This window comes from Homo sapiens, chromosome 13 (assembly GCF_000001405.40).
Source record: "Homo sapiens chromosome 13, GRCh38.p14 Primary Assembly".
In the NCBI taxonomy this organism is placed as follows: Eukaryota; Metazoa; Chordata; class Mammalia; order Primates; family Hominidae; genus Homo; species Homo sapiens.
The window spans coordinates 111,892,085-111,905,369 of NC_000013.11; the positions used below are offsets into that span (position 1 = coordinate 111,892,085).

At 51.5% G+C, this 13,285-nt stretch overlaps 1 long non-coding RNA gene across 2 annotated transcripts, besides 1 other annotated feature; it reads left to right on the forward strand.

The window, feature by feature from the left end:
- Positions 937-1,634: an enhancer, noted in NCBI's record as "NANOG-H3K27ac-H3K4me1 hESC enhancer chr13:112547335-112548032 (GRCh37/hg19 assembly coordinates)". NCBI's record gives its function as "activates a minimal SCP1, AML or CMV promoter by ChIP-STARR-seq in primed H9 embryonic stem cells {active_cell/tissue: H9 hESC(primed)}" and the evidence as "EXISTENCE:reporter gene assay evidence [ECO:0000049][PMID:30033119]".
- On the forward strand, positions 1,294-9,092 carry LINC00354 (long intergenic non-protein coding RNA 354). Of its 2 annotated transcripts, NR_120401.1 has the most exons (4): positions 1,412-1,490; positions 7,905-7,999; positions 8,602-8,774; positions 8,861-9,092. It is a non-coding gene; the product is annotated as a long intergenic non-protein coding RNA 354 (long non-coding RNA). The 2 variants fall into 2 exon arrangements; NR_046992.1 differs by lacking the exons at positions 1,412-1,490; positions 8,602-8,774 and adding an exon at positions 1,294-1,364 and having other exon boundaries at positions 8,816-9,092.
- Positions 9,093-13,285: the final 4,193 nt, after the last annotated feature.

The following is a 13,285-nucleotide window of genomic DNA, read 5'->3' on the forward strand; positions in this document are numbered from 1 at the left end:
ATAACAGAAAATAGACATAATGGGATAATCTTAAGAATTATTATTTTTTAATAAGGACATTTAAAAAAAAAAGTCAGGTAGAGCAAGATAGACAAGCAAGATCTTCCTGGGGCTGGAAAGAGACCCCTTCCTCTGTCACCCTGTGAGCCCTGGGCTATACATTGGTTACCTACCACAGTTGGCACAGGCATCCTGACATTCAATATACAGGTATGTACACTTGTGTTTCACTGGCTAGGGGATCACAGAGCACAGAGGTCTTTGACATCTCTTATCACCCAAAGTATGTGGCTCAGCACCGTGCTTATAGGACACTCTCAATACATTTTTTGACAGTGATGGCAAAAGATTGGATTTCCACACCCAGGTCTCTCCCTGGTTTGTTCAGAGCCTGGAGTATTTATTTACCCTCACTCCTCAAAATGGACCAATTCATTCTTGTCATAAACGTAAGGTTTGCGGGACTTCCTCTGGCAATTACTTAAGGCTATCATTCATTCTGCAGAAATCGCTTTGTAAATCAGCTTGATTATTTGGCTCAGTTTATATTTGAAAATTTTGATATGGAGGAATTCATTGCCCAACCAAAGACATACGCCCTATTCAAATGCACAGACAAATGCAGACCTCAGAAAACAAAACAAATGCACTCCCTATACCGTTCCTTTAGATCACTGGTCTCCGATTCCAAGCTTTAGTGGAAATAATGAAATGTCAGCCCTCGCATGCCACAAAATTCAAATCACAATGAAAAAGAGGGAAAGGCTGTTTGCCGTTTGCTTCAATATATACAGAACACCAAACAGTGATCTGGACACCAGCAATTTATGACGAGGCAAGGAAACAAACAAACAACAAACACAAATCCACAGGTGGGTTTATTTTTTAAAGTCCCTTCACAACAGCGGCAAACAGCCTTGGGCAGCAGGAAACCTTCAGACCCGCTTCTCATCCTGCGTGAGTCCTGGAGGCGGGAACGTGGCTGGTTGAGGTTCAAAGACCTGCGCTCTAATTACCAGCATAATTAGAATAAGAACATGTTGCTCACTCCAGAGGGGCCCGCCCCGCGCCTCTGCTGCTCTGGGAGAAAGCGTGTTTAAGAATTCCCATGGAGTTGCATGGGAGGAAAAGCGACCCCACGCTGAGCTGCCAACGTGGTTGTCAGCGCGCCCCGTGTGATTTCGTGCCGCTGTTTTCAATGCGCTAACGAGGCACGTTATTCTTAGCCGCGTCCGGGAGGGGATCACATTCCTGCGCAGTTGCGCTGCTGGCGGAAGTGACTTGTTTTCTAACGACCCTCGTGACAGCCAGAGAATGTCCGTTTCTCGGAGCGCAGCACAGCCTGTCCCATCGAGAAGCCTCGGGTGAGGGGCCCGGTGGGCGCCCGGAGGCCGCTGGAGGGCTGTGGGAGGGACGGTGGCTCCCCACTCCCGTGGCGAAGGGCAGGCAAACCAGAAGCCTCTTTTGAGAGCCGTTTGGGATTGAGACGAGTAAGCCACAGCGAGTGGTTAGAAGTAGGTTAGGAAGAAGGGGAGGTAAGAAAGCCGAGTAGGGTTCTGGGCCGGAGCCGTTCACTGAGACAGGAACCCTGGGGGAGATGCGCTGTCTCCCTGGCGTCTCGGTGCAAATGCCCAGAGAGCGGCTGGAACCCCTCGAGGCTGGAGCACGGGGACGCCGGCCTGGGGTGTAGGTCTGGGAGCAGTCGGCCGTCAGGTAGTTCACGGACACCACGAGTCTGGAGGGGCAGCCCGAGCTGTTGGGGGGTGGCGGTGCTGTGGAGGGAGAAGGGTCTGGTTCTGCCCCAGGGGCTGGGAGCAGCGACAGTGAGGGAGTGGGAAGGGAGGGGACCACAGAGAAGGCCAGGGAGGCAGTTGGGGGGCCGGGGACCCCAGCCCTGGAGCCATGGGCGCAGGAGAACCATCTGCCGGGGGCCTAAGGGACTGAGTAGCACCCACTGGGAGTCATCACCCCGGGTTCCGGGCAAGGCTGGCTCATGGGCAGGGAGAGGAAGCAGACCTGGGTGACTGGAAGAGCAGGAAAAGTGAGAAGTCTGGGAGAGGGGGTGGTAGCAGGAGGGTCTTAGGAGCAGGAAAAGACTTTACAGAACACCCCAGGGGAGACTTAGGAAGAGGAAATCCGGAGGCCTGGGGCTCGGTGGGGGTCCTGAAGGGCGTGCACCTTCTCCAGCTTCCCAGAGACCGTGACAAAAGACATCATTCTACGCTGCACAAAAGCAGCCAGAGGCGGCCTCTCCCACGCTCCGGGAGCGAAGGGAATGATCTGGCTAGAGAGCAGCACTCCAGGGTGACTCCGTCCTGCTGTCTAACCGGCCTCCGGCAGAGTGGCAGATCATCTGACTCTCTGAACCACTCTGAACATCAGTCTCTTCATCTCTAAATGAGGGTGCTGGCCGTGTGGATCCGCAGGGGTATCCTGAGGTTTGCCACGTACAAAAAGCTTAGGACAGTAAATACTAATAGGCTGGTGCAAAATAAATTGCGTTTTTGTCACTAAAAAAAAGTAGCAAAACCCGCAATTATTTTCCACCAACCTAATATTAAATGTGAGTGACTGGGTCAACTTGATGCAGCTTTCTGATCCCTGCTCAACCTGCGACCAGCTTCTAGAAGGACAGGAGTGGCCTGTGGCCGTGGGTCTTAAGGGCAAGAGAACAACAGAGAGATGTTTCTGGCCCCTCTTGTGTGAAATGAAGACTTTTTAATGTGAATGTAGAAGTAAGTCTTGGGAGCAAAAACAAAATCAGACCCTGGAGAATGGCAGAAACTCCAAAGGAGTTGAATGCTGGAGAACCCCAGGCGAAGTTAAATCAACTCGACAGAAGAGCACAGACATGTGATGGGGCACCAGGTGGGGGTGACAGGACGGCACAAGCTGCCTTCTGGGGTGATGGAATGCTCTGTAGCTTGCTCAGGATGTGGGGTACTCACAAACGAGCACTGGTCAGAACTCATTGAATGGTAGCACTTGAGATCTGACCAGTTCAATACATGCTCACTAGACCTCACTCTAAAAAAGGAAAAGGAGAAAAAAAAAAAGAGTTAGAAACTAAGGGCTAGAGGAAATATGTGACAGACAAGGAAAGGCTTCTGTAAGCAGAATGTGTCTTTTCCATGGGGAAATATGAACGATATGTCTATACACATGTGCACATATGAACATGAATCTGTGAATGTGCACACACATGCATACACATGTACATGCACACATACGCACAAATGCATGTGTGTACACCCGCGTGGGAGCGTATACACATGTACATGAGCACGTATGCACAAATGCATGTGTGTACACCCACGTAGGAGCATATACATAAGTACATACACATGTACACACAAATGCATGTGTGTGCACCCGCATGAGAGTGTATACATATGTACATGCACAAATGCATGTGTGTACACCCGTGTGGGAGTATATACAGATGTACATGCACAAATGCATGTGTGTACACCCGCATGAGAGCATATACATATGTACATGCAAAAATACATGTGTGTACACCCGCATGGGAGCGTATACATAAACCCTAACATGTACATGCACACGTATGCACAAATACATGTGTGTACACCCATGTGGGAGTATTTGCAGATGTACATGCACATGCATGCACAAATGCATATGTGTACTGTGTGTACACCCACATGGGAGCATATACATATGTATACATATGCACATGAATACACACATGGGCATTTATCCATGCATACATGTACACACACGTGCATGCATATGTATAAACCCAACACACGCAGATGAAAGTGAAAGAGGACACAGAAAAGTGAATCTGGGCTTTTGCCAACTCACACTTCTACTTGAACAAGTCAACAGGTGGTCCCTGCCCAGTGCACATCAAAAAGGCCTGTGCATCCCTCACGGTCCACCCTCTGCACTGCACGGACACTTGGCATTTCCCAACAGAGCCGGGGCCCGTCGGAAACGTGGGTTGGGTTCAGAGGTCGGTTTCCATGGCATCCTGCCACATTCCAGCTGCTGGTCTCGCACATAGCCGTCTAACTTCCCCACACATCAGTCGTCATCCTACAGCTGCAGACGAGCAGAGCAAAGAGAGAACACATGTGTAAGGCACTTATCCTGCACCCAAAACAGACACGTGCTCAGTACAGGATGGCTCACACCATCTCCGTCATCATTATCACCGTCATCGTCACCTCATCATCATCGCCATCACCATAAGGGGAACAGCTCTGCCTTCTCCAGGATCTCTTCTTTAGCCATGATCTGTCTTTGGAACCCTAATGGAACAGAGGAAGACAGCGTTACAAAGGCAGGCTCCAGGCCCCACACAGTGGGCAGGCCCCGTTCCCAGTGGGCCCTCAGCTCCGAGAGCAGGAGGCTGGGAAGGCTTGTGCTGGGTACAGGGCCAGGTGGGTCCTGCACGTGTGAATGGGCACAGAGGTGGGAAAGGCATCTAGGGTGGGAGGAGCCACACACACAAAGGCTCTGAGCTAGGAAAGGGCAGACAGCTAGCGGAGTTCGCGTGGAGGCCTCTGGGTGTTGCAGCTGGTGCCGGCTTGGGCACCCTGTGTCAGTCCTGAACAGAGGAGACATGCTCCCTGTCTGCTTTAGTCCATTCTCACACTGCTGGAAAGAACGGTCCGAGACTGGGTAATTTATAAACAAAGGAGGTTTAATCGACACAGTTCCGCATGGCTGGGGAGGCCTCAGGAAACTTACAATGATGGCACAAGGGGAAGCAGGCACATCTCACCCTGTGGCAGGTGAGAGAGAGCATGTGAAGGAGGAACTGTATAAAACCATCGGATCTGGTGAGAACTCACTATCACAAGGACAGCATGGGGGAAACCACCCCCAAACAGAGGAGCCATTTGAACATGTCCAGGCTCTCTGAGGAAGTCACACCCAGAATCTGAGCACCTTTATAAGGATGGAGGCCAAGGTTCCAGCTCTACCCAGTTTCTGTGCTGAAACCTAGCCTCCAATGCCGTAGTATTGAGAGGTGGAGCTTTGGGAGGGGATTAGGTCAGGAGGACAGAGCCTGCATAAATGGGATTAATGACTTATAAAAGAGGCACCACTCACAAAGCAGAAAAAGCCCTTACCAGACACGGAATCTGCCAGCACCGTGATCTTGGACTTCTCAGCTTCTAGAATGGTGAGCAACACGTTTCTGGTGTTTAACAATCACTCAGTCTGAGATGTTTTGTTATTGCAGCGTCAGCAAAGTAAGGTAGTCACTAGCAAGCCCAGGCTGCAGGACGCCCTCTGTACAAGCCAGGTGCCTGCTCCCTGAGCCCCAGAGTGTAGCCGTGGCAGCTGTGCCCACGTGGCCTCAGCCCCTGTGGCGTGATGGAGTTGGGGAGGTCATGCTTCCTGGGCTCCTCACTCCCAGGAGAAAGAAGGAGGGCCAGGATAGACATGCCCAGCGTTCCTCCCAGATGCACCAGGTCAGGCCCCCACCTCCCCGGGGTAGAGGGAGGCCCGAGTTACAGTGGAAGCCTCCTTCAGGGGAGGGCCATCCCCTCAGGAAAGAGAAACCTAAGATGTGGTTAGTGGTGAATTAGGAGGTGGGTGGAGGACGTGTGTCCAAAAGCCCTCAGGCCAGATAGCAAGTCCCGTGCTGGAGAGAGTGAGAGGGGTCCCCACGGTTGGGCCCAGAAAACGGGGTACAGTACAAGAGGGAACACAACAGCCGGGGGGGGGCCATGCAGGGGACTCCGCTCTGATTCGGCCTCTGGGCGTGTTTCACAAGGAAACTCATCACGTTTTTAAACAACTTCTGTGGAAGACGTGGAGGAGGGCTGTGGGTAGGCCATCTCCATAGACAGACTGGGGAATTTTGTAAGGGTCAGTGAGACAGGATGGCACCCTTGCTGCTCCAGGATCTAGTGGCGGCTTGAGAAGGAGGTCGAGGGGACGGACAGCTAGGTGCTGAGCCACAGAGAAGGGGAGTGACTCAGGGAGGAGCAGGGACAGACCTCGGGCAGCAGGAAGCTCTGGAGTGATTTGGGACGGCAGCTCTGAGATGCCTGGGAGCTCCAGCAGGAACCCAGCGGGGACATCCATGCTTTGAGACAGCAACTCTGTGCTTCCTTCAGCTGCACCAGAAACTGATTCTAAAACGTTGAGATTTGCCCTTCTGAAGCCCAATTTTTATTATTCTTATTTTATTTTTATTTTTTTGAGACAGAGTCTCGCTCTGTCACCCAGGCTGGAGTGCAATGGTGCTATCTCAGCTCACTGCAACTTCCGCCTCCCAGTTCAAGTGATTCTTCTGCTTCAGCCTCCTGAGTAGCTGGGAATTACAGGCGTGTACCACCACACCTGGCTAATTTTTGTATTTTTAATAGAGATGGGGTTTCACCATGTTGGCCATGCTGGTCTCGAACTCCTGACCCCAGGTGATCTGCCCGCCTCATCCTCCCAAAAGTGCTAGGATTACAGGCATAAGCCACCCTACCTGGCCAAAAGCAACCCTGAAGCCCAATTTTTAAATGACATTAAAAGTGTATCACAAAAGTCAAATAGGCATATAAAAAAGATGCTCTGCATAATAAGATTGCTGGATCTAAAAACCAAAAATTGAACAGTTTAAGACAGGAGGGAACTGGCTCCCATGAGGGCGTCGGGTTGGACAGATTCCCTCTGAGCATGTCCTGTTGCCGTGATCACACAGTTGTGGGCTCGCAGGGGACTGCTCCTTGCTCTGGGACGTGGCCAAGAGTTCAGATTCACCACTATAAATAGTAACACTGAAAAACTCCAGCTGAACCTTAGAACCCACCTTTGAGCCAGGTTTCAGCCAGTTTATCTCATTCTGCAATTTCACCGTGAGTCACACTGCATATTCCACGGATAAATCTCAGAGTGCAAACATCTGCTTTGGCATCCTTGGACAGAATGCAGACGCAGGCACACCAAAGCTCGGGTCTCGTCCTACGCCGGAAAAGATGGGGAAAGAATACAAAGTGGCATATGTGGTATTTAGTTTGGGGTCAAGGACAGTTGCTAAGTGAATCAACATCACACACAAAACACAGCCCACCCACATCCCAGTGGCAACCCGGGCCTCCCCATGCTGCTGTCCCTGCCCAGGCTAATCACAGCAAAGGGTTGGCGTATCCCAGTGGCAACCCAGCCCCCCCAACTGCCGCCGTCCTTGCCCGGGCTGATCACGACAAGGGTTGGCATATCCCAGTGGCAACCCGGGCCCCTCCACTGCTGCCATCCCTGCCCGGGCTAATCACGACAAGGGTTGGCACATCCCAGCGGCAGCCCGGCGCCCCCCCACCCCGCCCCACTGCTGCCGTCCTTGCCCGGGCTAATCACGACAAGCGTTGCCGTATCCCAGTGGCAACCCGGGCCCCTCCACTGCCACCGTCCCTGCCCAGGCTAATCACAACAAGGGCTGGCGTATCCCAGTGGCAACCTGACCCCCCCCAACTACCGCCGTCCCTGCCCGGGCTAATCACGACAAGGGTTGGCATATCCCAGTGGCAATCCGGGCCCCCCCACTGCCGCCGTCCCTGCCTGGGCTAATCACAGCAAAGGGTTGATGTCACTGGAATGCACTCTTATGTTCATGCTGATTTATCTATCCAAGTGGTCGGCCATTGTTATCATCGGGTTCCTTTCTTGGTTGGTTAAATCTAGAGTGGCCAGTGAGGCTTAGTTTTTAATTGCCCTCACTGATGTACTTTGGAGAACCTTCTGTGACCTCCGTGTCAGCCTGGCAAGCAGAAATGCTTTTTGTCCCTGAACAGCGACAGGTGCACTGTGTATGGGAGACAAATGACTAGAATGTGGCATGTTCCTCCAAAGCCAACCCTGACTGGCAGCATGTGGCATGGCGCTGCAAGGTGCTACGTCACTCTTGCTCAACTGCCTTTTGTACCTTTCAGGTGGACATGGACTCCATGGAAGCCTGAGCTGCCAGGGGCTTCCCTGGGGCAGCACTGCTTCGCGTAGGCTCACGAGAAACTTCCAGGGTTCCTGGGTAAGGAAGACACAGCAAGAGCTGGCCTCTGCCGCATCTGCCTTTGTCACCAGACGCCCATCTTTAGGGCACCTCTCTCTCCGCTGCTTGAGTTTTAGGGTCTTGCCATAAAACTTCATTAAGGCCTCCCAGGCGAGGCTCAAAGCACCCTGCCCCGCGTAGGAAAAGGTTCAGAGCACATAGAGAAAAGAGCAAGGTTGCACCCCAAAAGAATGACAGGCAGGGAGACAAATGCTGGCTCAGCCAGCCTGACTCCATTCCCTGGGGGGCCGAGAGGGATGTACGATGGGTCTTGTGAGGGTGGAGGGTGCCTGCCTCGCCCGAGGGATGCTGTGCCCATGCCCCTGCTGCCAGTTCACCCAAAGCAGTTGACGTTTTTAAACGAGCACAAAGTCTCTGCTCTTCAGAGTGTGACGGGCTGCCCCTGTCTGCAAAAGCTGTCCCCGAATAGGCTTTCTCTGAGCTTGTTACCGTGGAGGGCTGGGCCCGGTTTCTAATCGCCCCCTTCACCGGGCTGCCTGCCGCTGGCTGCGGAAAGTGTGGGTTTGGCTGCATGATGGCCTCGTAATGGCTGTGGTGACGCCCTCTGCGTCTTCTCCCAGCGCCAGCCTTTCAACAGAGCAGCACATTATGCCTGGATAAGACTCAAAGAGCAGCTTAATATCAGGTTCTCTGGGGCTGTAATCATCGGTTCAGGATGGAGCAGACACAGCCGCAGCAAGGCCTCTGTGCAGCCCCCGGTTTAAAACACATCAACGCATCCGTGGGCACTTTTGTGAGTTAAAGCTCAACTTACACATCTGCCTGTATCCATAGGAAATGAATGAAAATAAACAAACAAATTCCTTGCATTCAACGCAGCGTAAGAAAAATCACATCCTGTTCCCCAGTAGCTGAGGAAAGCCGGCTCACGAGAGTATACAGGGAGAAGAGGCCAGCATTGTGTGGCTGCCAGCAAAGCTCACTTGTATGTCAAATGCAGCGCTTTTCTTAGCCCATTATGTATTTTTTTTTTCTTGAACACTCCTGTGTCTACTGGGATCTCCTGTTTTTATTGTTTTGGGATGAGATTTTAAAAACACCATTTAATGTAGCCTGTGTGCTCTTGTTCATTAAACCAAAAAGAAACCCTGGATCACGGCACAGGAGACTCTCCTCCCCGTTCTCTAGGGATGCGCCCTCATGGGGAAACCCTCTTTTCTCATTATTTTTGATGGTGTGCTCTAACAAGACGATCTGGAGGAAACTCCATGTTCACAGGACACATTCCTGCAACGTGGCTTGAAGGGCCCACACCAGGGTTTGGCTCATCCATGTCGCAAACTAGAGGGGAGGAGGGTGCTGGCTATTTCCCATCTGCAGTCTCAGTTTCCCCACCAGAGGACTGGAGGGAGTACTTGGGTGGGCTGTGATGCAATCCCGGCACGAACCCCCCAGCACTGGCATTGGAGTCGGAGGTTTGGGCATAGTCGCCAACATCGCACTTACTTCCATGCCAGCACCAAGTCTGCGGCTCCCCAGGCCACTCTCACTTCTGACCACAAGTTCAAGGCTCCCACAGCCTCTCTGGGGTCCGTAGTTCACTAGAACGACTCGCAGAACTCAGAAAAGCTCTGTCCTCACAACTGCAGCCCTACCACCGAGGCCACGCTGAGGACCCAGCAGCGGAGACGCATCCAGGGCCGGTCGAGATCAGGAGGGTCCCAACCTGGGGTTCCCGGGCCCTCTCCCTGTGGAAGGGGGCAGGGGGCACTTCCCCTCCCGCACGTCTGCGAGTTCTCACCGGGGCCTCCTTCTGTAGGGATCACTGCCCAGGTGATGAGCTCCTTCTCAAGCCTCCTCCCTTTTGGGAGGTCAAAGTTCAGCTATACCATGCGGCCCCACCCTGTAATTGCATAGTTGGCCTTTCTGGTGTGGCCAGCCCCATGCAGACCCTAAGATGCCTAGGGACCTCCTTGAGTAACAAATTCCCATCACTCAGGAAATTCCGCAGGCTTAGATGTTACCTCCTAGGAACCCAGGACAAAGACCAGGCACATTTCTTACTATGCAACAATAATGGTAAGCTATGGCAGGAGTGTCATGAGGATGAAATGGGAAGATGCAGGTCAAGCATGAGTGGCGGGGCCTGTGATCCATGCTTTATGTACTGAGTGAGTGCTTAATAAACGTTAGCTAGTGTCGTCAGCACCATCGCTACATCATCACGCTCCTGAGTCCAAACCCAAGCCAGTCCAAGCCCAACAACACCTTCAGTTAAGGTTCCAGCAAACTTACACGACAGGGTCCATTTGATAAATTCTCTATAAACCTATCCATAAATTATCATTTCTGTATGAGCTAAGACATAGGCAAACAATTTTTGTCAATGTTTAAAATTTTCACTGCTTCTCAGAAAAATAGTAGGTCAGAATCTTAAACTGTATTTTACTTAATCACACACAAATAATGTGGTATTCTGGTGTATTTTATGGAAGATTGATTAGCACTAAAGACTCACAGGCAAACGAATAAATGCAAATCATTTTTACACTCATCTGTAATTTTATCCTGCCAGTGCTACTTTGAAATTAGCATTCTTGTCCACAGTTTCTAAGTAATGATTCTGATGAGCCTCAGAGAGGGGATGTGACTACCCAAGTTCATAAAGCTGGTCAGCGATGAAACATTTCAGCAAAACCACAGAGTTATTGAATAGGAAGAAGTACACGTGGTGGCCTCTGGTTCGAGGTATCCAGCGCTGTCCTCGGGTGGGGGAGAATCAGTGTCACCTCCCATCCAGCACGAGGCTTGCCCTGCTCCAGAGCAGGGTGTGGGGGTGCGTGTTCTGTTGCTCCAGCACTTACACGGGTAAGGCGAGGTACCAAGACTCATTTCAGGTACCAAAGCAGATCAGGGGACAGACTGAAATTCTGTAGAAATTTCACATTAGGTGGTCAAGAACTAGTGAAATGATTCACTTGCATTAAGGCTATACACAGTTTCACTAGGTAGTGTGCTTGATAAATATCTTGCAACCGGCTCTCCAGAAAGCAGAAAGAGAGCTTCCTTACAGTGTGCCAGTGCCCATGGTGTAAATGCCCTTACCATGGCAGATTCCAGAAAGCAGAAGGAGCTGACTCACAGCATGCCAATGTCCATGGTGCAAATACCCTCACTGTGGCAGATTCCAGAAAGCAGAGCTGACTCACAGTGTGCCAGTGTCCATGGTGCAAATACCCTCACCGTAGCAGATTCCAGAAAGCAGAGCTGACTCACAGTGTGCCAATGTCCATGGTGCAAATACCCTCACCGTAGCAGATTCCAGAAAGCAGAGCTGACTCACAGCATGCCAATGTCCATGGTGCAAATACCCTCACCGTGGCAGATTCCAGAAAGCAGAAAGAGAGCTGCCTTGCAGCGTGCAAATGTCCCTGGTGCAATTCCCTCACCGTGGCAGATTCCAGCCCCCCAGTGCAACATTGCTGAATGCAGACTTGGGAAAAGATGTGCACGTAAGTCCTTGCAAGACGCTCAGCACACCACTGGTTTCAGTCTGGGGCTCCTACCCCTCACGACGATTTTGAATCTTGATTTTGTTATCAATCATGTTTATGTTAGTTACCTGCCCAAGTCACCTTCAGTGTTGTGAGGGTGCCCTATGGATAGGATGGTGAGTGGGCAGACTGAAGGCAGTCTTAGGGCACCCTGTAGGGCCCTCCTGGGCACATGTCACCTTATCTACTTTGAGCAAAATTCTTTGCTCAATGTAAGTCTCCCTACCTATATTCTTACCTAAATCATATTTCTCTACTTTCAATGTTAAATAAAAAATAAATAATTACGCTTAGGGCATTTTCCAGTCAGCAAACCTTCATTTCATTCTGACACTGGTCTCATCTATCTCTCTCACAGCATGGGTCTTCTGCAGATGTGTAAGAATGCCCTGTAGCCAAATTCGATGTGGCCAAATGTTGTATTCCCAAGTTCAGGAAGGGCGGGGCTAGCTTTATAGCAATGCATGGAGAATAAAAGTTTGTGCTGATTGAGTTACAAAAACCAGGTTAATAGAACTTTGGAGAAGCAGAACTTTGGTGGAGGATATTGAGGTGTGTGAATAAAGGCATGAGAGGGTCCGAAAGATGTTGCTGAGGGAAAATAGCAAGATGTGACTGGGCTTTAGAGGGAGGGCATGGAGGGGGAGTGGAGTGTCGGAAAGGACCCCAGACCTAGAGCCTGGGAGCGAGGAACCTGGTGAGGCCAGGCTGGAGGTCATGATCCACAGTAAGCAACAAGAAAGCAGCGCCTGACAAGGCAGCCGTGGAGAGCCAAGGGCTGCCATCAGCCTCTTCATCACCCTTGGGGTGAAGGCAGAGGAAGAAGCAGCCTGTGGGAAGCATGTGGTAAAAACCTAGCAGAGGCTCCAACTAACCCAAAGTGCATCGTAAAATATCATAAGAACAGGATGCCGTGGGGGAAATCTACAAAAGACTGTTGTTTCAAAAAAGAGAATCTTTTATGCAACAACCAGGAGACCACAGGCTTTCCCAGCCCTGCGTTTGAAGGTTTCTGCGGGAATTTCACCTTGTTTTCACCTGGCTGTGCTTTCTGTGCATTTGGCAATGATGCCACCCGCATGTATCTGTGTGGCAGCAAAATCCAGGCCACGGCCTTCCATCATTTTCCTGCCAGAAGCCCGCAGAGCCCGCTCCAGCCCAGCGCCGGCTCAGCACCTCCCGGCAGGCCCTGGAGGCCACCCATGGCACCCCATGGCTAATTGGCTGCCGCTGGTGCTGCCGGAAGTCAGGAGCAATGTGGCCACCACTGCCCCCCACTTCCTCCATCAGTATTTTAGCATCTTTTCTCTGCCAGCCCAACTCACAGGCGTGCCACATGCGTTCACCTGCAGGAGCAGTTTAGATACTCTGCTGTTTAATAGCCTTCGCACTTATGCAGACCCGAGAGCAGGACTGCGTGGTTGAATACAGTGACAAAGCCCAGGGACAGGACACGTTGCAGGTCAGCCGCTCGCAGCTGCTGGGTGGGCGGTGTCCACTCTTACCGGCCTTGGTTCCATTGGAAACCTGATCGTATCTTGGTAATGCGGTGCCGCTGGGCTCCAAGAAGCTTCCTGCCTTTTAAAGCATTTTTCTTGTGAAGCCCATCGTGACATGACAAATAAGCAGTCCATGTACCTTCGTATGTTCACAGAGAGTTCCCGGCAGGGGATGTGGCTTCTGTGGCTCAGGTTAGAACCCAGCCTCTGTCCCTGTCCGTCTGTGTTCTAGCTCGCCAGACTTAAACAGT